At 57.0% G+C, this 23806-nt stretch overlaps 1 protein-coding gene across 22 annotated transcripts in view, besides 9 other annotated features; it reads left to right on the plus strand.

Moving 5' to 3' along the window:
* Positions 1768-23806, plus strand: part of UVSSA (UV stimulated scaffold protein A) — a 53979-nt gene continuing 31940 nt past the window's right edge. For 6 of the 22 annotated variants that reach the window (XR_007057948.1, XR_007057949.1, XM_047416025.1 and 3 more), the window contains exons 1-7: positions 6066-6326; positions 7847-7946; positions 9281-9611; positions 11472-11592; positions 12787-13170; positions 14492-14604; positions 14874-15002. Coding sequence is in view for 16 of the 22 variants with exons in the window: in XM_047416025.1 (XP_047271981.1) it covers positions 7849-7946; positions 9281-9611; positions 11472-11592; positions 12787-13170; positions 14492-14604; positions 14874-15002 (1176 nt within the window). In the remaining 6 variants the exon portion in view is untranslated. The other 16 variants (XR_001741304.2, XR_001741303.2, XR_001741302.2 and 13 more) reach the window with 16 other exon arrangements.
* Positions 4682-5205: an enhancer, noted in NCBI's record as "H3K27ac-H3K4me1 hESC enhancer chr4:1338713-1339236 (GRCh37/hg19 assembly coordinates)". NCBI's record gives its function as "activates a minimal SCP1, AML or CMV promoter by ChIP-STARR-seq in naive H9 embryonic stem cells {active_cell/tissue: H9 hESC(naive)}" and the evidence as "EXISTENCE:reporter gene assay evidence [ECO:0000049][PMID:30033119]".
* Positions 5206-5728: an enhancer, noted in NCBI's record as "H3K27ac-H3K4me1 hESC enhancer chr4:1339237-1339759 (GRCh37/hg19 assembly coordinates)". NCBI's record gives its function as "activates a minimal SCP1, AML or CMV promoter by ChIP-STARR-seq in naive H9 embryonic stem cells {active_cell/tissue: H9 hESC(naive)}" and the evidence as "EXISTENCE:reporter gene assay evidence [ECO:0000049][PMID:30033119]".
* Positions 6024-6113: a silencer, noted in NCBI's record as "silent region_15128". NCBI's record gives its function as "represses an Ori minimal core promoter by ATAC-STARR-seq in GM12878 lymphoblastoid cells {active_cell/tissue: GM12878}" and the evidence as "EXISTENCE:reporter gene assay evidence [ECO:0000049][PMID:35858748]".
* Positions 6334-6663: a silencer, noted in NCBI's record as "silent region_15129". NCBI's record gives its function as "represses an Ori minimal core promoter by ATAC-STARR-seq in GM12878 lymphoblastoid cells {active_cell/tissue: GM12878}" and the evidence as "EXISTENCE:reporter gene assay evidence [ECO:0000049][PMID:35858748]".
* Positions 6904-7343: a silencer, noted in NCBI's record as "silent region_15130". NCBI's record gives its function as "represses an Ori minimal core promoter by ATAC-STARR-seq in GM12878 lymphoblastoid cells {active_cell/tissue: GM12878}" and the evidence as "EXISTENCE:reporter gene assay evidence [ECO:0000049][PMID:35858748]".
* Positions 7574-7653: an enhancer, noted in NCBI's record as "active region_21153". NCBI's record gives its function as "activates an Ori minimal core promoter by ATAC-STARR-seq in GM12878 lymphoblastoid cells {active_cell/tissue: GM12878}" and the evidence as "EXISTENCE:reporter gene assay evidence [ECO:0000049][PMID:35858748]".
* Positions 10708-10876: a silencer, noted in NCBI's record as "fragment chr4:1344739-1344907 (GRCh37/hg19 assembly coordinates)". NCBI's record gives its function as "represses an EF-1alpha promoter that drives an FKBP-Casp9 reporter gene in an ReSE screen in K562 erythroleukemia cells {active_cell/tissue: K562}" and the evidence as "EXISTENCE:reporter gene assay evidence [ECO:0000049][PMID:32094911]".
* Positions 19790-20311: an enhancer, noted in NCBI's record as "H3K4me1 hESC enhancer chr4:1353821-1354342 (GRCh37/hg19 assembly coordinates)". NCBI's record gives its function as "activates a minimal SCP1, AML or CMV promoter by ChIP-STARR-seq in primed H9 embryonic stem cells {active_cell/tissue: H9 hESC(primed)}" and the evidence as "EXISTENCE:reporter gene assay evidence [ECO:0000049][PMID:30033119]".
* Positions 20312-20833: an enhancer, noted in NCBI's record as "H3K4me1 hESC enhancer chr4:1354343-1354864 (GRCh37/hg19 assembly coordinates)". NCBI's record gives its function as "activates a minimal SCP1, AML or CMV promoter by ChIP-STARR-seq in primed H9 embryonic stem cells {active_cell/tissue: H9 hESC(primed)}" and the evidence as "EXISTENCE:reporter gene assay evidence [ECO:0000049][PMID:30033119]".

Below are 23806 nucleotides of genomic sequence, written 5' to 3' on the forward strand. Positions count from 1 at the left end.
ACGGCCACCGGGAGTTGAGAAGCCGGCTGGAGGCCACTCCTGCCCGGACCGCAGTCCTCCTCTCGGGCGCTGCCCTGAGGCGTGATGGCCCCAGCGTCTTGAGGCCCCGGCTTGCAGCTGGGTGAATCAGACACTGGTTCCTGGGACCCACGGGCCATTGTCTGTTGGGGGTGGGGGCTCAGGCTGCAGCCACCAGCAAGCCTGGGCCTGCGGCTTGGGCTGAGTCTAGGGTTGGGCTAAGGAGGCCTGCGGGCTGTGGCCACTGGCCCTTCCCCCCACCGCCCACCCCTGTTCTCTCCAGTGCCCCGTCGCAGCTCCTGTGGCCAGCCTGGTGCCCCTTAGCCCATCTCTTACCCCATGGTGGCTGCCCTGGCCCCTCCACAGCACCCAGCTGGAACCCACCACATTCCCACGTGCTCTTCTTTGGAGCGCCCGTCCCCAGGTCCCCTCGGCCGAAGCAGACCCTGTGGCCCCACTGCCACGCAGCCGCCCCGGCCTCCACCGTCCTCACGTGCAGGGGCTTTCCTTGTCTTGCGTCCTGTTCTTTCCTTTTTAACTCGAGTAGAACATACTGGAGCACACACATTCTAAGTTCACATAACGAATTTCTGTGTAACATGCATGTAACCACCAAACAGACTGTTCCCAGCCCCTGGCCTTGCCCGGTCAATATCCTGGTCAGTCATCATTGGAGTGGCGCACCCCGGCCCTGAGCTCCTCGAACACAGAGCCACATGGCGTGGGTCCGTGGCTCAGCGTTACTCGGCGGCTCAGCCCTGGCACGGCAAAGTCTTGCCTGGTTACAGGCCTGTGCTCTCCAGGCAGAACAAGCGCAGCGGCCTGGCCCCTCTCCCGCCGGTGGACATCAGGCGGTGTCCAGGTAAAGCTGCTGTGAGCACTCCGGGAGGTGACCCTTGCTGGACGCATCATTCTTTTGTGGGGAGATGCCGAGGAGTTGCCATTGCTGGGCCACGTGTCCACTCAGCAGACACTGACGGTTTGTTAAAGGGGTTGCACCCACTTCTGCCCATCTGCTCCACATCCACACCAGCGAGTGGCACTGGGAGTCTTGAATGTGAGATGTTTTGTTGGTTGTGTTATCTCGCTGTACTCTTTCTCAATTGAGGTAAAAATTACATACACCAAAATGCACATACAAGTAAAAGCTACTCAATGAGTCTTAATAAATGTACCTCCATGTGACCACCACTGAAGCCCAGGCATGGAACGTCCCCATGGCCCCAGAAAGGGACCCCTTGTACCTTCTGAGTTATCCACAACCCCTACACAAAATCATTGCTCTAATTTTTGTCACCGTAGGTGAGCTGTGCCTCCATAGGTGTCAGATGGTGGAATGTGGACACTGGTGGATCTGGCTTGTTTCCACAGACGCTTGTGAGGTTCATGCCTGTTGCACATGTCAGCAGTTCCGTCCTTAGGTGTTGCTGAGTGGAGTGATAGTAATCCATGTATGCACAGACCACAGTGTACACCAGGCTGGAGTGCAGTGGCGCAATCTTGGCTCACAGCAATCTCTGCCTCTCGGGTTCAAGCGATTCTCCTGCCTCAGCCTCCCGAGTAGCTGGGATTACAAGTGCACACCACCACACCCAGCTAATTTTTGTATTTTTAGTAGAGACGGGGTTTCACCATGTTGGCCAGGATGGTCTCAATCTCCTGACCTCATGATCTGCCTGCCTTAGCCTCCCAAAGTGCTGGGGTTACAGGTGTGAGCCACTGCGCCCGGCCTGTATCCATTCTCTTGATAGACATCTGGGTTGTTCCCTATTTGGGGCTATAATAAGTAAACCTCTTATGAACATTTGTGTGCCAGTCTTCTTGCAGACATTATTTTCATTTCTTTGGGAAGTAATTCTCTGGAAGTAGAAGGAACTGAGTCATGGTGTGTTTATGTTTAACTGTACCACAACTGCCAAAGATTTATCCAAAGTTGGTGGTAGTGTTTTACACTCCAGCAGCAGTGTGAGGATTCCAGTGGCCCCACATTGTTGTCAACACTTGGTAGTGTCAGGTTAGTCATTCAGGTGGGTGTGCACTGGGGCCACAGTGTGATTTTCCCTTGCTTTTCTTTGATGTCTGATTTTGACCTGATGCGCTGATTGTAATTTACATATTTGTCTATTGCTCATTTTAAATTGCATTATCTTACTGATTTGTAGGGATTCCTCACATACAAATCCTTTGAGGGATATGTGTATTTATACTTTATTGACTGTCATTTGATCAGCAGATTTTTTAAGTTTTAGTGCAGTTCAATTTATTCTTTCTTTTGTGGCTAATGCTTTTCTATGTTCTAAAAAAAAAATCTGCCTATTCCAGGGTTGCAATAATATATCTTCCAGAAGATTCAGTTTCGGCTTTTAAGTCTGTAACACATCTCTTAACTTGTGTGTGTTGTGTGAGGAAGAGCCTGAGGATGATTCCCCACCATCCCATATGTTTACTCTATTGTTCTAACACCATTTGTTAAAAAGACCTTTCTTATCCCGTTGAATAACGTTGGCTCCATTAGAAAAAATTCCTGGCTGTGTTAAGTTGGGGTTTATTTCTGGACACTACCTTCTGTTAGACTGGCCTTTAGGTCTATCCTTGTCCTAACACCACATTATCTTAACTATTGCCGTTTTAAGGCAAATCTTGAAACCAGGGGGTATGATGAGTCCTCCAGTTCTGCTTTTTCAGAATGGTCTTGGTGGTCCTAGGTCTGTTGCATTTCCACGCACGTTGTAAAATCAACTCATCAGTGTCTGCTGAACACTGTAAAAAGTGTGCTGGGATTGTCACTGGAACTGCAGTGAACCTATCATCCCTATTTGGGGACGGTATTAGTTTGCTCGGCTGCCGTAACAGAAGACCACGGACTAGCGGGTTTAAACAATGGACATTTATTTCTTCACGGTTCTAGAGGAGATGCTGGCAGGGTTGGCTCCCGGTGAGGCCTCTCTTCCCGGCTTGCAGACGGCCCCCTTCTCACTGTGTACCTCTCGTGGTGGACTTCCTCCTGTGCACACACATCTCAGGAGTCTCTTCATCTTACGAGGACATCAGTCCTATCAGATGAGGGCTCTATCCCTAGAATCTCATTTAACGTTCCCCTCTTTAAAGGCCTCATCTCCAAATAAAGTCACATTGGAGGTTAGGGCTTCGACATAGGAATTTGGTAGGCAGGGGCCACAATTCAGTCCATAACAAGGACTTATAAATCATAACAATATTGAGTCCTCAACCCATGAATATGGTATATCTTCCTGCAGATTTAGATCCTTCTCGCATCTAAGGTATTGCCACCTCCAGGAGGCAGATCATGAGGTCAGGAATTCGAGACCAGCCTGACCAACATGGTGAAACCCTGTCTCCACTAAAAATACACAAATTAGCCAGGCGTGGTGGCACGTGCCTGTAATCCCAGCTACTCGGGAGGCTGAGGCAGGAAAATCGCTTGAACCCAGAGGGCAGAGGTTGCAGTGAGCCAAGATCGCACCATTGCACTCCAGCCTGGGTGACAAGAGTGAAACTCCGTCTCAAAAAAAAAAAGTATTTATAGAACTTTTCATTCCTTTTATAAAGTTTGCCTCTGGTATCATTTTCCTTTCATCTGAAGAGCATCCTATAACAGTTCCTGGACTGCAAATCTGCTGGTCATAATTCATGCAGCTTTTGTCTGAAAATGCTTTTACATCACCTCAGTTTTTAAAGGCTATATTGCTGCATATACAGTTCTAGATTGACAGTATTTTTTCTTTTACCACCTTAAAGATGTTCCATTTTCTTCTGGCTTTTTTTTTTGGGTGGAGGGGGAGGAGGGGACAAGAAATCCTTGGCTTCTTTGTGCCTGTATGTCATACGCCTTGTTTAATCTGACTGCTTCTAAGATTTGTCACTAGTTTTCTGCAATTTAAGATGTGCCTTGGGTGGTTTTCTTTGTTTATCCTGCTTGGGTTTTATCATCTCTAAGTTTCCATTGGTTCTTTTAAAATATCTTTTAGAAGTATCTTCTAATTCTTGGCTTGGTGCAGTGGCTCATGCCTGTAATCCCAACACTTTCGGAGGCTGAGGTGGGCAGATCACTTGAGGCCAGGAGTTCGAGACCAGCCTGGCCAATATGGTGAAACCCTGTTTCTACTAAAAATACAAAAATTAGCTGGGCGTGGTGGTGGGCGCCTGTAATCCCAGCTATTTGGGAGGCCAAGACACGAGAATCATTTGAACCTGGGAGGCAGAGGTTGCAGTGAGCCGAGATCACACCACTGCACTCCAGCCTGGGCGACAGAGCAAGACTCTGTCTCAAACAAAAACAAACAAGAATATCGTCTAACTCTCATCATGATTTATCTTGGCTTTCTAATCTTATCCAGCATTCAACAAATATTGAGCACCTGCTTTTTGTCTGGCTTCATGAAACAAAGATCCCTATTTTCAGGGACTGTATGTTTTAGGAGTGAAGAGAAAAAAGCGAATCACCTAGTAAGACAGTAAGTCTGTGTGACACAAGGGCCAGAAGTGCCCTGGGAACAAGCACGGCAGGTTTAGAAAACGGATGGGGGGTGTTGAGCCAGGGAGGTGAGCGGGTGCAGAAGTATTTGCTCAGGGTGAGACATGAGCAGTGGCTGGAAGGAGGCAAGGAACTCTGTGGATACTGGCAGAAGCTTCCCGGCAGAGGGATCCGCTCCCCAGAGGCCGTGTGGCAGCAAGAGCAGGCTGGAGAAGTCAACCGGTGGGATGCAGGGGGCAGCAAACACAGGCCACGACAGGTTTTGCCTTGCCCTGGGATGGGAGCCGTCGGAGGATTTTGTGTAGAGGAATCCTGTGATCCGACCTTAGACTTTCAAAGGTCCCTCTGGTTGCTGCATGATGGTCTAGGGGTACCAGGGTGCAAGGGAAAGACAAGGTGACGGCAGTGACCTGCTGCAGGGGTGGCCAGGAATTGGCAGTGGCAATGAGGCAGTGGGACGTGCTCAGATCTGGATGTGTTCTGAAGGTAGGGCTGTCAGGATTTGCAAACCAAATGGGCATGGAGTGAGAGGAAGAGAGAAGCCCAAGTGAGTCAGATAATTGGTCCAAGCGAACAGAAGGATGCAGGGCAGGCCCAGGCACGGTGGCCCAGGCACGGTGGCTCACGCCTGTAATCCCAGCACTTTGGGAGGCCGAGGCGGGCGGATCACCTGAAGTCAGGAGTTCGAGACCAGCCTGACCAACATGGTGAAACCCCGTCTCTACTAAAAATTCAAAAATGAGCTGGGCGTGGTGGCGGGTGACTGTCATCCCAGCTACTCGGGAGGCTGAGGCAGGAGAATCGTTTGAACCCGGGAGGCGGAGGCTGCAGTGAACCGCGATCGTGCCACTGCACTCCAGCCTGGGTGACAAAGCGAGACTTTGTCTCAAAAAAAAAAAAAAAAAAAAAAAAAAAAAAGGCTGCAGGGCCATCAGCGGATACAGAGGGCAGTGGACGGGCAGCTTGGCTGTGCTGTTGAGCCTGAGGGCTGAGAGGACACCCCGGGGCAGTGTAAAGGAGACTGGACTTAGCAATTGGTAAGAAAAGTTGGATAAAGAGAGGGTTTTGTTAGTATGGGAGAAACGGCACCCTTTTATACTAATGAGAACTAGTAACAACAAAAAAAACCACGCTGTAGAAGACAGAGGGAAACTGCTGGATGGGTGCCTTGGAGGAAGCCACAGGCCGGGGATTGGATGCACAGGGCAAGGGGCGCTGAGGGAGGGTCTGGCTGCAGCTTGCTCAGTGAAGCAAGAGGCAGGGTGAGGAAGGGGTGAGGCGGAGGAGCGGCTCGGGGCTGGCTGCAAGCTAGGAGCTGGGAGCCACTGACGCCCAGGGACAGAAGCTGGTGCTGCAGAGAGGGGCGGCGCAGGGAGTCCCTCTTCTTTTCCTTTTTAAAATAATTGCTTTACTGAGATATAACTCACACATCCTGAAACCCACCCTGTAAAAACACGATTAACAGAGTTGTGAGCTACCACCACCGTAATGCAAGGGCACGCCCATCCCCCCGAAAAAGAAACCCCGGCCCGCCGCCGGCGGCCCCCGCCCTGCACCCAGCCCCGGGAGCCCAGTCGGGCGTCTGCTCTGCGTGGCCTGTGCCGGGCGCCCCGCGAGTGGGGTCCACACCACGCTCCTCCGAAGCCACGGTTTCCCAAGCGCGGTCTCCAGGTCCGTCCGTCCGCAGCCGACCTCGCACTCCCCTGCGTTCGAGGCTGCGGACTTCGGCGGCAGGACGGACGGCGCCTCTGCTTCTCATTCCGCCCAGGGCCAGCCCGGGCCCAGGGGTACCTGCTGTGCGTCTGGCGCCGAGGTGGGCCCCGAAGACCCCCAAGCCCGCCCAGGGATTCCCTTCCCGAGGCCGGAGCGGGGAGGCGCCGCGGGGTTCAGGGCGCCCTGCGCGGGGCGAGCTCGGGGGCGGGGGCCCGCGCCCGCCCGTCTGGGCGGTCCTCACCGGCCCTCTGCAGGTGAAGGGACCTGGCTGCGAGCCCGCGGGCGGGCGTGGCGTTGAGGCCCAGACCGGAACTTCCTTTCGGCCTCAGTTTCCCGGCCGGCCCCGCCCCCGGCGCCCGTACATGCGGCCCCTTTAAGGACTTTCTGCGCCCTCCCGCCTCTTTTTTCTCGTGCGTCCCCCTCCCCACCCCCGGCAGCCTGCCTCGCCCTCGCCGGGAGCGCGCCTACGTCACCGCGCAGACCTCGGCCGCGTCTTTGCGCCTGCGCCTCCTGGGCTGGGGTGAGCCATTGGCTGTCGAGCTCAGGGCACGTGCTAGGGGGCGGGGCCTTGACCGGAAAGGGTGGGGCAACGGCGAGAAAGGCCGCGTCGAGCGGTAGGTGCAGTCGTCGCTGTGGTGACCCCAGGTCCTGATGCGTCCGGCCCAGGGCCAGCCAATGGCGGTAGAGGTCTTGGGCACCTGACAAGAGGGGCGGTCCCCCCGCCGGAAGGGGCGGGGCGAGGCGAGCGGCCGCGTCAGCGGTAGGTGGGGCTGTGGTTACGCTGCCGGGCGGGGGTCGCGCCGGTTCGGTCCCCGGGGCTCTGCGGGCGCCGGGCAGAGACCTGCGGCCAGGGCGTGTCCCGTGTGCCCGAGAGCGCCGGCGGCGGGGCCGGAGGGCGGGCCCTGGGCCGAGTGACAGGCCGCAGCCCCCCGAGCACCGTCGAAGCCGGCGCGCCCGCCCGGTGCAGCCGCTGTGCGAGAGCGACCCCGCGGTCCAAGCCTCGCGTGGCCCTGCCGGGCCCCTTCTTTCCCCGAGTAGGGCGCAGCTTCCCAGCCTCCGCCCCGGCCTCGCCTGGCGCTTCCTTCCGGGTCCTTCGGCCTTTCCCTGGCGGTGCGGCAGGCCCTCGCCTCATCCCACCAGGCACGCCGCGGTGCTCGGCCCTGGGTATCCGGGCAGGCTGCCTCCGTTAGGGCCGCCCCTGCTCTCCGGACGCGACTTTTCATTGGTCTCAGAATTTCTTGGCTCCTCTTGGCCTCTGCAGCCTTGCTGGAGGCTGCCCTGCGGAATCTGAGTGAATAAGGGAAACAGCAACAGTCACGTTGGGGAAAAGCTGATTCGGACAGCGCCACTGGTTCCTTTAACGCACGACCCTCAATGCAGCGTCCCACACACGGGATTGTAGAGGTCCCGAGTTTAAGGTTCACTTTTAAAACTGCAATCACCGCCGTAAAGGCCTTGCTGGACACACATATTTCCCAGAGAGGCACCCACAGATGGACCCCAGCCTCAGGGTCCTCCCGGAGCTTTCGGTTTATAGTGGAACCCAGTAAACACGTTAATAACACCGAGAGCTATAAAATACAGATGGTGATATAGCATCTCTGCCTTACTTATTTCTAGATATGGATCAGAAACTTTCGAAGTTGGTAGAAGAGCTCACAACTTCAGGAGAACCCCGACTAAATCCTGAGAAAATGAAGGAACTGAAGAAAATTTGCAAGTATGTCTTAGGGTTCAGTAACAGTAACTGACTGGCCCACTGAGCCCAGGACACACACAGGGCCCTGCCCTCCTGCCCCCACCTGGGAGAGAACCACCCGAGGGACACACCCAGGACATTTTCTCGGGGCCCTGCAGTACCCGGCTCTGACGGGTGGTCATGTTCTGGGGTCGGGGCGTGTGGCGTTGGGGACCCCACTGCTCTGTGGTTGGTGCTTCTCTTCATTCCCATTTGTGTGGTCTGGAGCACATCCTGTAGGAGTTCTTGAGTGCACAAATGTGATTCAGAGAGAAACGTGCATCTTTTTCTTTGCTGCTGGACTTTTCGAAGGGAAAGAATAGAGCTTGCTGATGGGCGAGTTGGTCCATCGCCTTTAGGGTATGTCCACCTCTGTTCACTTCCTCCAAGGAAAACGCCGGAGGGGATCTCTGCCGTCACCCTCAGGCAGCCAGAGATTCATGGGGGAAGCAAAACTTCCCCTCGGAGGGTGGAGCATAAGTCGAGGACACTGATTATTCTGTATCCTGTGTTTGTAAAATGGCAGTTTATAGATTGTTTATACAGTGATGGAGTGTTGACATTTTGATAGAAAATTTCAGGTCAGGTTTTGTGGCCTGCGCCAGGAAATCGAATTCGCAATGGTTTATGTGGGGTCAGGAGCTGGGAATAGGAGCATTCAGGAGGGGCTGGGAGATGTCCCGAGCTCTAGGCCTTCCTTCCTTCCTGCAGCAGGAGGCACCCAGCTGAAACAGTGTGCGTGCTGGGCGGTGTGCGTTGTGCCAGGCGGTGTGTGTTTGTGCCGGGCGGTGTGCGTTGTGCCGGGCGGTGTGCGGTTTGTGCCAGGCGGTGTGTGTTTGTGCCGGGCGGTTGGCGTTTGTGCCGGGCGGTGGGCGTTTGTGCCGGGCGGTGTGTGTTGCGCTAGGTAACGTGTGTTTAAAGAGCCAGATGGTTTGTGTTTCAGGCTTTGCTGTAATGCCTCAGTTGTGAACACAGCTGTAGATGATGTAGGTGGATAGATGGGCGACGTTCCAATGACACTTTGTGAATGAACACCGACATTTGAAGTGTATATGATTTTCACATTTCACCAAGTATTTTTTGTTTGTATTGACATTCTTGGCTTGTGGGCCACACAGAAACAGGCAGGGGCTGGGGAGGTAGATGTGGCCCTTGGGCAGTAGTTTGCAGACCCTGCTCTAGAAAAGGGGAGAATGAAGATGGGAAGGCAGTGGTGGTCCCTGCCACACGTGCGTGCGGCATCCATGCACGGAGAGTCTCCCCCCGCCCATCCTCTGCGTGTGGGGCAGTTGGGTCAGGCCAGCTCGCATCCCCAGGTCTTCAGAGGAGCAGCTGAGCCGCGCCTACCGCCTGCTGATAGCACAGCTGACCCAGGAGCACGCCGAGATCCGTCTCTCAGCCTTCCAGATTGTGGAGGAACTCTTCGTCAGGTCTCACCAGTTCCGGATGCTGGTTGTTTCCAACTTCCAGGAGTTCCTGGAGCTCACGCTGGGCACAGACCCCGCACAGCCTCTGCCGCCCCCCAGGGAGGCGGCACAGAGGCTGAGGCAGGCGACCACCCGGGCCGTGGAAGGGTGGAATGAGAAGTTTGGGGAGGCCTACAAGAAGCTTGCCTTGGGCTACCACTTCTTAAGACACAACAAAAAGGTAGGTGGGCCTGGCCCATTTTTTCAGAGACTGGTTACCTGACGTGAGGAGGGCAGACGATACCAGGGTGAAGATGCGCCTCCTGTTGAACCTAGCACAGCAGGGGCCTGCTTGGCCTTGCCTGAACACCCAGGCTGCCAGACCATCTGTGGGGTGTGGGAAAGAGGGCAGCATCTAGGGTCACGGCCTCCCTGAGAGGGGCGGCGCAGCTCTGAGAGGAAGAGCATAAGCTTTATGTGTGGGTGGAGCTGAGGCTGCATGTGTCATTTTTTATGTGCGTGTAGGAGACAAAGGAAAAGCCAAATCCAACTTTTCAGATGCAACGTTTTCTGTGACAGTGGCCCCTGGACTCTGGGACCTGTCCCAACCTTGCACTTTAAGGCTCCACCCGCACCCTACTATGGGCTCGGGCTGGTGCCTGGCATGATGAAACCCACCAGGATCTGCCACTGTGGCCTGAACCCAGCCTCATTGCCCAGACCCTACCGTGCCCCTTACCCCACCTGCCACGAAGGCTCAGTCCTCCCCAGTGCAATGACCCAGCCCTGCTGGCTTCCCTGTGTGCCCTTGGAGTGCCCTGTCTCCCAGGGTTCATGCTCAGGGTTTGTTTCAGACTCCTGGGTCCAGTCAGCAGCCTCTGCCTGCTAATGGAACAAGCACACTGCTCTCCTACCTGTGAGGTACTTGGGGTGAGAAGTCTCGTCACCTCTTTTAAGTTAGCAGACGTGCTGGCTTTCCCGGGCTCAGACAGCAGAGAGACGTGCATTGTGTTTTGTTGTAATGCACTGTGAACACCTGGGTGTGAGGGTGCACACCCACAGTCCCACTGACTCTGGAAGCCGAGGCTGGTGGATCACCTGGTCCTGGGAGTTTGAGTCCAGCCTTGGTAACACAGCAAGACCGTTGTCTCTTAAAAAAAAAAAAAAAAACTACTGTGAACTTACAGACGCATAGGGCTCTTGGCCACGCATGGGTGCTGTCTTTTGTTAGGCCTACTTGAGCTTTATCTTCCTCACATTCTGTATAGATAGCTCTAGTTTTTGTTGTTGTTGTTGATGATGTTGTTTTTGAGACAGGGTCTTGGTTTGTCACCCAGGCTAGAGTGCAGTGGCGCGATCTCGGCTCACTGCAACCTCCGCCTCCCTGGTCCAAGTGATCCTCCTGCCTCAGCCTCCCAAGTAGCTGGGACTACAGGCACACGCCACCACACCTGGCTATTTTTTGTTTTTAAGATGGAGTATTGCTTTGTTGCCCAGGTTGGAGTGCAGTGGTGCGATCTCAGCTCACTGCAAGCTCCACCTCCCGGGTTCACGCCATTCTCCTGCCTCAGCCTCCCAAGTAGCTGGGACTACAAGCACCCCCCACCACGCCCGGCTAATTTTTGTATTTTTAGTAGAGATGGGATTTCACCGTGTTAGCCAGGATGGTCTCAATCTCCTGACCTTGTGACCCACCTGCTTCGGCCTCCCAAAGTGCTGGGGTGACAGGCATGAGCCACTGTGCTGGGCCAGCCCTAGTCTTTATTTTCTTTCTTTTTTTTTTTTTCTTTGAGACAGAGTCTCGCTCTGTCGCCCAGGCTGGAGTGCAGTGGTGCGATCTTGGCTCACTGCAAGCTCCGCCTCCCGGGTTCACACCATTCTCCTGCCTCAATCTCCCAAGTAGCTGGGACTACAGGCGCCCGCCACCTCGCCTGGCTAATTTTTTTTTTGTATTTTTAGTAGAGATGGGGTTTCACCGTGTTAGCCAGGATGGTCTCGATCTCCTGACCTCGTGATCTGCCTGCCTCAGCCTCCCAAAGTGCTGGGATTACAGGCGTGAGCCACCGCGCCTGTCCCCTAGTCTTTATTTTCAATTGCTCAGGTGGATTTTCAAGACACGAATGCTCGGAGTCTGGCAGAAAGGAAGAGAGAAGAGGAGAAGCAGAAGCACTTGGATAAAATTTATCAAGAAAGAGCCAGCCAGGCGGAGAGGGAGATGCAAGGCAAGTGTCCAGGACGGAGGGAGGGGCCCACGCCTCTGAGGGTTGCCCGTGGTCCAGCAGTTCATCCTCCTGGTCCCAGGGCCCCAGCCGCAAGGAACCCAGGTTTTGAGACAGGCTAGGTGGAGAGGATTCAGGTCGGGCCGGAAGGCGTTCTTAGCCGTAGGCCTCCCAGGCTGTCCATGCCTCTCCCGCGCCCTCTGGTGGTCACATTCATCCACGCCCGTTCGCTGCGCGGACCTCTGGGCAGAGATGCCAGGCACAGGTGTGCCTGTGGGCAGTGGTCTGAGCCCCAGCCTGGCTGAAGGCCCTGCCACCTGTTTATTTTGTGGCTGTCTTGCCCTTGCCAGCCCCTTCCCCAAAACTTCACTGTTTGCTTCTCGGCAGTCAGCCTTTCTTGTGAGGGGCACCACGAGAGTGTGAGGAGGGGGTGCCACGGCCCTCCTGAGACACCTCCTGATGTGGGCGGAGGCACGGCCCTGTGTCTTCAGACTACATGTACCCCAGATCCTTCTCCTGACAGACTGTGGTCCCAGGTGTGGGACCTGCCACAGGCCACTGGAAACGCAGGCCTCAGGGCAGCTCACAAGGCAGGCAGCTGGGTGCCCAGACAATGAGGAGGCTGCCAGGAGGAAAGCTGCTCCGGCCCGGGAGGTGTGGCATGAACGAGGCTGTTTTGTTGCCCTAGGGAAGAGGTGCAGCCGTGTCCTGGGAAGTGCAGGTGGGCTGACCTCCCCTGCGCACTCGTGCTTGCTACCCAGAGGTACACAGAGATTGCCTTGCAGGCCCAGCTGCTGAGCTGGGTGCTCTAGTAAGCGGTTAAAAAGTGCAGCACACGACTGGGCGCGGTGACTCATGCCTGTCATCCCGGCACTTTGGGAGGCCAGGGCAGGCGGATCGCCTGAGTCCAGGAGTTTAAAGCCAGCCTGGGCAACATAGCAGGACCCTGTTTCTACAGAAAAGTTAGTTGAGCATGGCATCACGTGTCTGTAGTCCCAGCTAATCAGGAGGCTGAGGCGGCTGCACTACCTGAGCCTGGAAGGTCGAGGCTGGGGTGAGCTGTGATTGCACCACTGCATTCCACCTGGTGCTGAAAAGTGACACCCTGCGGGGAGTGGGCCTCTGAGTGTGGTTTTGAGTGGGCTGGTGCTTTTGCTCCACATAGCGCAGCAAACAGGTGTCTTGATCTTCCGGCAGAAATGTCTGGAGAAATTGAATCCTGCTTGACGGAGGTAGAGAGCTGCTTTAGGCTGCTGGTGCCTTTTGACTTTGACCCGAACCCGGAGACGGAATCCCTTGGCATGGCTTCTGGCATGTCCGATGCCCTTCGCTCCTCCTGCGCGGGCCAGGTGGGCCCCTGCCGGTCTGGCACCCCTGACCCCCGGGACGGGGAGCAGCCCTGCTGCAGTAGAGACCTGCCTGCCTCTGCAGGCCACCCCAGAGCGGGCGGCGGGGCACAGCCATCCCAGACAGCCACAGGTGACCCCTCAGATGAGGACGAGGACAGCGACCTCGAGGAGTTTGTGCGGAGCCACGGGCTGGGCTCGCACAAGTACACGCTGGATGTGGAGCTCTGCTCAGGTAACTGCCTTCGCGGGGTCTCTGTGGCGCCACCCTGCCCCGGCTCCCGGGTAGGCTCCTCCCTCACTGGCACCCGGCCCAGGAGCCTGGGGATGCAGGGGCCTCCCCTGGGGAGCTAGGTCAGGGGTCACCACCAGGTTTTTCCTTTCTGTGTGGCCTCTGCACTGGGCTCCCCCCACCCATGCCAGGCCTCTGTGGCCACAGGGACACTTCTAAGAGCTCATGGCAGCCCCCACCTCAGTGAGGCTGTGGGCAGAGTAAGGACCCACAGGATTGGGGTGAGGTGGGGTCGTGAGGCTGTTGCGGTCCTCAAAGGATGAGGGAGCACAGGCCTGACCTCCAAGTGACTGGATCCCTGGGCAGGCTGTGTGGGCATCCCGTCAGCTCACAGGCCTGTCAGGGTCCCGTGTCGCCATGAGGGGTCAGGTAGCACCGGCCCTTGCTGGGAGGAAAATGTGTTCCAGAAATGGCCACGGGCAGCCTTGGCACTGCAGCCTGGGTGGGTGAGGATTGCAGAGACATAGCCGCCCCCGCCCCCCAGCCCCAGCTTCCTCCCAAGCCCCCTGCTGCCCCCCTGGGGTGTGAGTGGAGGCTGGGGCCCTTTGCGTATGTGTGTGGCTTCAAATCGCTCTCTTTGAGGAACCTTCTTCTTTGGAAGCAGGCACAGCAGGTGTCCCTTCACCAGGGCCAGGAGGCAGCCGGGCTGGGAAGCTGCTGGGAGAACTGATCCTCGGGTCTCAGCTGCCCAGAGGTGCCTCAGCAGTGAGGCTGCAGGCCTGTGCGGGGTGGACACCGCTGCTGCAAGCCTGGGCTGTCCTCGCCTGTATAGAGCTCTGCCCTGCGCCGGACACTGAGGGTGCCACAGCGGGGGAAGCCACGGCAGGGCAGAACTGGAGTTGGGGTGTCCAGCGGAGGAGAGGCCGGGGGGGTGGGGGCTGGTGAGGCTGGGCTGGAGGGGCGCCATCCTGTGGCGTGGGCTGTGGAGGGGAAGGTTCTGTGCCCGGCGTGTGGGGGCGGTGAGTAGAAGAGGCTGTGGGTGGTCTCGCCCTCCAGATGGGATGGCTGCAGCCAAGGAGACTGAGACACAGGCAGTGGAGCTGCGTGTGAGGGGAGGCTTTGGTGTTAAGCCACAGTGTTCTTTTCTAAGATAATAAAACACTTCCTTCTCACAGCATCAGGTTTGGGATTCCCGGGGGCAGGCATGGGCGTCTGGCAGGTTCCCCTCAGGCTAGAGCAGCCTTCCTTGCATGGTCTGCCTCTCCGGGGCCTGTGGGAGACGCCAGTCGGCGCCCTCTTGTGACCTCTGTGTGCTTCTCCCCAGAGGGCCTGAAGGTGCAGGAGAACGAGGACAACCTTGCTCTCATCCACGCCGCCCGCGACACACTCAAGCTCATCCGGAACAAGTTCCTGCCGGCTGTGTGCTCGTGGATCCAGGTGAGCCTCGAACCTGGGACCTGTGGGTGGAGGGACGTGTGCAGAGTGCCATGCATGGGGGGGGTCCCTTTCTTGGGGGGACTGTGGCCCGGTGACTGAATGGCCCTTAACCCGCGAGGGCTCTGTCCCTCACCCGCAGCTTTGTCCTCTGCATCCCAGGTGTGCCAGGGACCCCCCGGGCCAGTGGACCTGGCATGTGCCTCCCAGCAGGACAGCTTCCCAGGTCCTGCCCGGCCGGCCCCTGAGCTGTTCGCACCCCCGTTTCGCAGCGCTTCACCCGCGTCGGGACCCACGGTGGATGTTTAAAGCGTGCCATTGACCTGAAGGCTGAATTGGAGCTCGTACTGAGAAAATACAAGGAGCTGGACATCGAGCCTGAGGGAGGGGAAAGGCGCAGGGTGAGTGGGCAGGCGGCGAGCGGGAAGGGGTCCCAGAGGCCTCAGTGGGGGAGGAGAAGCTGTGGGGGGGTTGTGCCCTGGGCCTGTGGGCCCGGCGGACCCCAGCCACACCCCAAGCCCACTCAGCCTCAGCAGGACCTGCCTCCCCAGCGAGGGCTTCCTGTGAGCCCAGGGTCATCACCATGGCAGAGGGGACAGTGCAGCTGTCGGGTGTTGCCCGGCTGCCGTGTATGGTAGCTGAGCAGAAGTGCTGAGTGCTGTGCGCGCCTCCAGGAAGCCACCAGTCAGGCTGTCCCCCCCGTGACTCCTTCTAGGGAGTCATCAGCAGTGCGGCACCTGTCCTGGCAGGCACTGTATCCACCAGAGGAGAGACCCTCGGCAAACCCTCAGACGGCCAGGAGGGTCAGCGCGGGCACTGGTGCCCACTTGGGGTGAAGACTTGGGTTACTGTCTGCTGGGCCTTGCGAGGGGCTTGGGAGGGTCATGGGGGCACTGCACTTCCCTGAGCAGGGAGCACGGGGTTAGAAGGGGCAGGGCTGCCGCGAGGGGCTGGAGGCTGGAGGGAGGTTTGGGGTGCCTCTGGTGGGTGAAGCTGGGAGCAGAGACCGTCGCATTGGGTGTGTCGGAGCCGTTCGAGGGTGGGGGTGCCCAGCACACTGCTGTGCCAGGGACCTTGAACTGGCTGAGCATGGAATGGAAATCTGGGCCTCGGTGCCTGGAGGGGCCTGAGAGCTGGGGTCCTCTGCAGACGTCCTCGGCAGCACCCAGCACAGTCGGGCCTTAGGACTGGAGGTACACAGCGGCCACCCTGAGCTCCCACAGCAGTGCTGTCTCTCAGGCACCTCTCCCTTCAGGAACCCAAGCCCTGAACCCCAACACCCCTGAGCTCGGACCCCAAATCCAGCCCTGGCCTAGGAGATGGTGGCCTTTTGGCTCTCCCCACTTTAAGGAAAGCTTTGGGGTGGAAGTGACACTGTGCTCCTTGCTGAGGAAGAGGTTGGGTTCCACAGCAGCAGACGTGCGGGGCCTTGGAAGTTGGGGGGTGGGGAAGCTCCTCTCGATTAAATGCTGAGCCTGTCGTTTTCCCCAGGTCAGTGGCCCCGCGTCCCCAACGTGGTGGTGTGCAGCCCCCCCAGGGGCCAGCAGAGGGCGAGCTTGCTTTTCTCCTTTAAGTCCGAAACTGACTCCCGGAGAATTTATAGACATGTGGGAGCCCACTGGCCTCGCCGCTGGTGTGTGGCCGCGTTTGTGGGTGCTGGTCAACACCTTGCTCCACAAGGAAATACTTCTGTGAGTTGTGACGAAAATATACTTTTTGCAATGCGAAAGGATGCTGGTCTAGGCTTGGGAGGAAGATGGTGAGTGCCGTCAGCATGTCAAGATCAGGGTGAGCCCACTGCCCATGCCCAGCACACTTGGGCCCACAGGATGGCAGCCGCAGGACCGGGCCCCTATGCCAGCCCCTGTCACTGTTGCCTAGTGGGCTGCGTGGGGGCTGCCGGCTGGGGTCACGGGCACTTCCCTGTGGCTCACATTGAGGCCCTTTCAAGGTCACTGCCCGGTCTCCACGGCATGGGCAAGGCTTGCTGGAGCCTCACGCTGAGACCCTGCACCAGGCACTGCACCGGTGCACCTGCTGCCCTGGACTCACCTGGCACGGCTTCTGCAGTCTGCAGACAGTTTTGTCTGAAGGTGGCCGGTGGGCCTTTGCCTGGCAGTGGCAACCCCTGGGTCAGCTGGCTTATTGGTGAGGGTCCACAGAGCAGAGCGGGGCTGATGGGTGGCATGGTCTGGTCTCATCAGGCCTGGGCCCCTCCAGCTGGTTATTGGTGAGGGTCCATAGAGCAGAGCGGGGCTGATGGGTGGCATGGTCTGGTCTCATCAGGCCTGGGCCCCTCCAGCTGGTTATTGGTGAGGGTCCATAGAGCAGAGCGGGGCTGATGGGTGGCATGGTCTGGTCTCATCAGGCCTGGGCCCCTCCAGCTGGTTATTGGTGAGGGTCCACAGAGCAGAGGGGGGCTGATGGGTGGCATGGTCTGGTCTCATCAGGCCTGGGCCCCTCCAGCTGGCACAGTCCTTTAGTACCAGCAGCAGTGCTGGGGCTGGGGCAGCCAGGTGGCTCTTCTTGGCCTGAGATTCTGGCAGTGGAACCTTCTGGAATGCCTGGTGCTACCCCTGCCTGCATCTCACAGCTCTACAGCATCTGGGATGCCCTCCAAGTGGGGTTGGCTGGTGGAAGTGAATCTGGGCAGCCTCCGGGACTGCTGGCAGCTCGGCCTGCTTGGGTGAGGATGAGGAGCTGCCGTTCCCCGAGTCAGGACTCTAATTCAGCGCGGCCACGGTACCAGCGAGGCCTGCAGGCTCCCAGCCATGGCTGACTTGCACCCACATCTCCACCTCACCCTGGTGGATGCAGACTCCCCCTGTGTGCCAGGGACCCTGCGTGCTCTTCATGAGTGTTCAGCTCAGCCTGGCTCCTGCCGTGTGTGGGCTCAGGAGTGCTGGCCTCCCAGACCTCTGCAGGCTGCAGGCTCCTGCTGGCCGTGCCCTTCTGGAGGCAGCACTAGCCCCTCCTGCCTCAGGGATGCTATATTCAGGGCCTGGTCTGTGGGGGCCAGGGCCCATAACACGGGTGTGGGCCAGGCCATGCAGGAGGGTACTGGGCAGGGCACGGCCGCCTGAAGGACCCCAGCAGCTGCTGCTCCCACCCACCAGGTCCCGGGGACCCCGCCGACACTGTTAGCTGTCTCTGAGCTTCTGAGTGACTCTCACATGAGCATCTCACGCCCCACGTGGTGGAGCCGCCAGCACTGTCCCTCCGTGGCGCGTGACCCCAGCCCTTGGCACACAGGCAGCCACCCTGACCCAGCGCCCAGGGCCTGCTGCCATCCCACTGTCCTTCCTCACTCCTGCTGGCCGGGGCCCACTCCTGACCCATCTGTGTGCATCCTCTTGAGATCTGAGTGGTGGCACTGGGCGGGGGGTGTCTGCGGCCAGGACTGACAGTGCTTGGAGGGCCCCTCGTCCCCTTCGACCACATGGTCTGGCCAGCAGATGTGCCCCAGCTGTGCTTCAGAGCTGGTGAGTGTGCAAGGGCAGCAGGGCCTGTGAGGCTGGATTGAGGATGTCACAGCTCCGGTGGGAAGGGAGGCGCCACGCTGCCCATTTGTCAGTTGAATGGACACTTTCTAGACTCTTCTCCGCAAACTGGTTTCTTTTTAAAGCACCGTTCTGAAGTCCTTGGAGATTTTGCTCCCGGCAGCTGGAGTGCAAGGAGCTGCCTGGAGATGAAGTGATTGGCGGGCTCGCCTAGCTCAGGTGAGCGATGCTTCCCAGAATAGATGCCGTGGCACCACTGCAGTATCTGCCCATCTCCCTCCTGGCTCCGCGCGGCCGCTGCGTCCGAGTGGCGTGTGTGCGGCAGGTGGGGCTGGCTGACAAACGTGGACGTTAATTAGAGCCATTTTAATTAGAAATTATGGACGAGGTGCTCCTCGTTAATTTTCAAATAAAATTTACAGAGGGTTTAAATCACTTCCCTCCGTGTCTCCCCATTTAGCACGGGGATTGGCGTCGTTAACTCCGTGTGTAGAACAGGGCACGCTAATTCAGTCATGCCTGATTTAAATATGTTTAGAACTTCCAACTAACATGTAGGAGATGGGAACATGGAACGCTGCTAGCTGCAGGCAGGAGGCAGGAGCCTAGCCCCGGAAGGCCCAGCCCGTCCTCGTGCTGTCTCCGGCCGGTGCTCGTGCTGAGGCTCTCCTCGGGCAGCCACCCGGGAGCAGACACCGTGTCTTTCCTTTTTAACATTTCCCACTTGGTTTCTACGTAATACTGTTTTCCTTTTGACGCAGATGTTCTGTCTTCAGAAAATACTTAGGCGGGTTTGAATATGTGTGCTGTGCATTTGGAGTGCCTCTGAGTGGCTTCCGTCTGGGGACAGATGTTCCGTCTTCAGAAAATACTCAACGCTGGTTTGAATATGTGTGCTGTGCGTTTGGAGTGCCTCTGTGTGGCTTCCGTCTGGGAGCAGGCCGAGGGTGAATCTCCTGGATCAATGTGCAGCGTCATTTGGTAGATTGCGTGTCCAGCCTTGCCGCGCTGTAGGGTGGGTGTGATCATCCGTGGCTGCGTCATTCGCTGAGCTGATAAAAATCCTCTGGAAACTTTCACGTTGCCTGCTGCCAAATTACATAGCTCAAATCACCAATTACTTTGTATTGTGTAATTAACAAAATATTAATTTCCTATCAGCCAGTGAGTCAGAAACGCATCTTAAGCATCGTTCTCTTTAGTACCGTCAGCGTGGCTCTGTCTTTCCTTCTGCTAGTTACCGGGTTACTTGTTTCCGTGGCTGAAAGATACGGGTTTGTTTTTGTTCTCGCCGATGTTGAGTCTGATGTGGCAGCCACATGGGTTTGGCCGTGGATGCATCCTCCATTGCCCACAGAACCAGAGTCGTCCCCCCGACTCTGTGGTTTTCTTTCTCTGTCGGCCGCCTGCCTGCCTCCTCCACCGGCCTCACCACCAAAGCTCTGATCTTTGGAGTTAGATGCCAGAAGCATTCTGCCCTCTGATGTTCAGTGGGCTCCAGGATGCAGCTGACAGCCTCCCGGGGACCCTGTCAGCCCCTGGGATCGAGGCCCCACCTCCTTTTCCTGCTGTGCGTGAGGGAAAGTTTTCTGTGATGCTCTGGAGCCATGGGAGTGTCTGACTTCCAGGAGGTGAAAGGGACAGAAACTGAAAACCCAGGAATGAAACGTGGACCCACCAGGCACAGGCAGGGGAGGAGGGACCTAAATCAGCGCTGCTGGGAAACCTTGTACCGCCCTAGGGCTGGGAAACAACCTTCCTGGGTGATGGGGCCCCTCCATCACGCCGAAGGCCAAGCCGCTGTGTGCGCCACCGCATCCCAAGGGCTGCCCACGGGGGGCGGGGTGCAGATACACAGGTTCTCTGGAGTCAGCACAGGGAACACGGGGAGAACATCTTAGGCCCAGCCAGGGCCTTGTGCCAGCCCTCCCTCCCACACCGGTGGCACAGACCCGTCTTTTGGGCTTTCACCGTCCCTCAGTACCTGTCTGCAAAACACAGGGCGCTTGCCAGACAAGCCCAGCGCTCCTTGAAACACCGCCCCATGCTGTTACCCCTTTCGTTTGGAAAGCAGCCCCGTGGGGTCGATCGGTTTTCCACCCCATTTTACAGACAGGGAAGCTGAGCCCGGGAGAAGCTGTGTAGGCCCCGGCCTCCTTGTCCAGGCCTGGCCTCCTGATGAATGTAAGTGCGCCTGACAAACCCGTGCTATGGCCGCGCCCAGAGGCTGGCGCCTGCTTCCCAGAGGCTGGCGTTCTGGCCCCTGTGGGCCCTGGCTGCACTCTCCTTCCCTGAGAAGGTCAGGCTGAAGCAGGGTCCTTTCCCGCCCCCGTGAGCCGAGTGTGTGTGTGACTCACCAGAGCCCGGGAGCAAGGACACAGGCAGCTTTCATTTTCCCGAGCCCAGAGTTAGCTTTCTCCGCAGAGCTCGGGGGCAGGAGCTACTAGGTTTGGAGGCCCCAGATGTTCTAAGAAGTCATTCCGCTCTCCACTGAAGGGGGCGTTTACATAAAGTCTGCGTGACCCCTGGTGCCTCAACCAGCTTCCTGAGCACTGCACCCAGTGCTCCTGCTCAGTAAGAACCAGGCCCACAACCTCTGCTCAGAACGTCCTATGTGGGACCCAGGGGCAAACACCAGTTTGGCTGCCCCAGGAGAAGAGGCCGCCCTGGCCCAGCTCCATCCATCTGGAGAGCAACACAGACCCAGGACCCCCGGCCCGCATCTGGTCGACAGATGTGTGTCTCTATCTGGCAGGCAGCCCCGGGGACCCAGCAGAAATTTTGCCCCTAGCCTAGCTCTGGAATCGACCTCCAGGTATCTTGTGAACCTGAGGCCTCCTCCTCTCACACCCAAGAAGGCCCCCAGGCCTGTGGTGCTGTGGTCCTGGCCCCTGCAGCTGGGACTCCAGGAAGCGGCCCGAGGCCCACCATGCTGGCTGGCAGCTCCCAAGGGCAGGTCTGTCTGAGCCTCATTACTGGGAGTGACCTGGGTTAGACGAGAATGGGAAGAGGCCCACAGCACTGTGTTTTGTGATATTCTTGTAAGAGCGTGTTGATGAGTGTAGATTTTATAGTAAAGAACCAGTCATTCTAGAAAGCAACGACTTGCTTCAGCAGAACCTCCAGGCTCTCGTTTCAGAGGTGAGGACACGCCTATGGTGCTGTGTCTGTGTCCAGCAGGTTCTGCTCGGCCCCGACAGTGCTGCCCGCCAGGTGCCCTTCCCGCACGCTTGCTGCAGTCAGCCCTGCACCGCTCCGCCCTCCGTCCTCTCAAGGTGCGTCCCTGGCAGCCGGAGATGCACATGAGATATTGGCCTGGCCGGGCAATTTGCACGGCCTTCCAGGGAGGGCATTAGCATATAAATAGCAGATGCAATGACGACCATCACAGCTGAGCACGTTTAATTTTTGGTTTATAAGATAGAATGGGTTTTTAAACACATAGCCATCAAGGCGCTGAAAGACAAATGCAATTTGGAACTCACTTGTCTGACGAGGCCTTACATCATTTTTTTTTTTTTTTTTATAAAAAGGGAAACAGACACACATAAAACTGAACAAAAGTGATTTCTTGGGTGAAAAGTAATTGAGACCGCGTACCAAGTTAATTAGATCGTACAAAATTTATTTAATGGCCCCAGCTGTATCTCCCAGCCTGTGTGTGGCGGACAGACCTGCCCCTTCACACGGCCTCTCCTCTTCCTTTCCTTCTCAAATAATTAGTAACCTCGCCACCCTACTTCTGTGAACTGATTGCATTGTATATTTTAGCCATTTTATTGCTTGTTTAATTATGATCGTGGAGGCTCATTTTTCTAAATCCTTTTAAGTGTGGGTGAGAATCCATTTGTATGAAGCCAGCAGAGGCCGGAGTGCTCCTGCCCGCCTCCCCGCGGTGGCTGGGGTTCCTTTGGAGGTGCCCTGTGCACGGGTGGTCTTGGCTCTCCATGTCGAGGGGTCTATAGCTCCTGTAGCTCCTGCACTGTGGACCAGCCTTGGGAGGCTTCCAATGCCCCGCAGGGGACTTGGCCCATTAGGGAAGGTGTGGGCACGGGTCACAGCCCCCTTGGGAGGGGACAGCCTGCAGGTGACCTGTGCCTCCCATGCCCCTGCTTTATCACAGGAAACTCGGCTGCCAGGTCGGGGTAAAAGCAGACTGCTCTTGAGAACCTTTTCCAAACCTAACCTCATTTTGTAGACATCTCCAGCCCCAGCACCACATAGGGTGTATGATCTCCTTTCCTGGATTCTTGCTCGTCCAGAGCCCCCCCGCACCGGTGCCCAGCCCCTCAGCAGGGCTTGCAGACCCGTGGTGCTGGCCCCTGGCTCATCTGTCCCTCACCTTGAGGGCGGGTGGCTCTTGCCTGTCACCACTTGATGATTTGACTTCTTAGAGGTGAACTGGAGGCGTGTGGGACCACGTGGAAGGGGGGCTTCGTGCGGGGCCTCACCCTCCCTTTGGGCTCCGTGCGCTTCGAGGCCTCGGGGAGCTCTGTCCCTGGTGACCACGCCGTTCCTGTCCTCCGAACAGGCCTGTGAACAGCCACACAGCTTCCTAGGCTCACGGCTTCCCCATCTTCAGCATCCCTGCCTGTCCCTGGCGTTCAGTGTGCCCAGCAGCAGATGTTGGAGGTGACCGCACTGTGCGTCTGTGGGTTTCAGACATGAGAGTTTATCCCGTGTGACTTGAACCCTGAAAACAGCAGCTTTCAGCCTTGCATTTAGTATCCGCAGTGAAGCCCCTCAATGCTGAGTTGCTGTGGTTTGAGGGGTACCACGGCCTCAGTAGTTGCAAGCTGAAGTATGGAAACGGTGGCTGTGGTGGGACCTTGCCAGGGAGGAAGCCCTGCGGCTGCCTCAGAGGTGAAGGGAGAGCCACCCACGGACCTGGCCGCTGTTACGGAGGGAGATGCTCACCGGGACCAGGGTGCCCTCATCAGCGCTGATTTAAGAACAAAGGGGAACCCAGGGCTCCAAATTTAGTCACAGAAATGAACCATTATTTGGGGAGAAAGAAGGTGTAATTCCTAATAGTTACCTGAGCAGTTGAATATTTTTTAGGAAATGAAAATTTGATAAAAGTCCCCGATGAAATTCAAGGGTGCGAACAGGAAGCATAATATTTTTTGAAAACGACGCCCATATTTAAAATCTGGCACTATATGTTATGCATTGTAGCACCCGGTCCACATCTACCTTTTAGAAAATTAAAACACATAAATTCTGTTTAGTGTGTGATAACGCGCTGCACTGGCTGAGAACCGTAATGCCCTGAAACCTTGGGCTGCTCTCCACCTTTCATAAATTCCTGGCAGATTCTGTACAGAAATAATTTTCAGGTCCGTGGCTTGTTGTTATTCAGACGTGATGGATCGCCATCATTTGCTCAGCGCGGGAGTTAAGTGCCCCTGTCATTTCCAAAGAGTATAATTGGGACGTTTCACAGGTCAGCGGTGGAGACAGGCTTCCCTTTTGATCAGTGTTAGACTGATAACAAAAATTACAGTTTCCAGTGATTAATGTCTCCTGTGCTTCCCAGATGCTCAGCAGTGGGATGCTCCTAAACAAAGTGCACTTGGTCTGATGATTGGTGTGGGGGCCACCTCCCGGCAGGGTGCTGGTGCCCGGGCCCCGTGGCCTTGTGTGGCCTGGCTCCGTGGGGGCCACCTCCCGGCAGGGTGCTGGTGCCCGGGCCCCGTGGCCTT

The sequence above is a fragment of the Homo sapiens genome, chromosome 4, assembly GCF_000001405.40.
Source record: "Homo sapiens chromosome 4, GRCh38.p14 Primary Assembly".
Taxonomy (NCBI): Eukaryota; Metazoa; Chordata; class Mammalia; order Primates; family Hominidae; genus Homo; species Homo sapiens.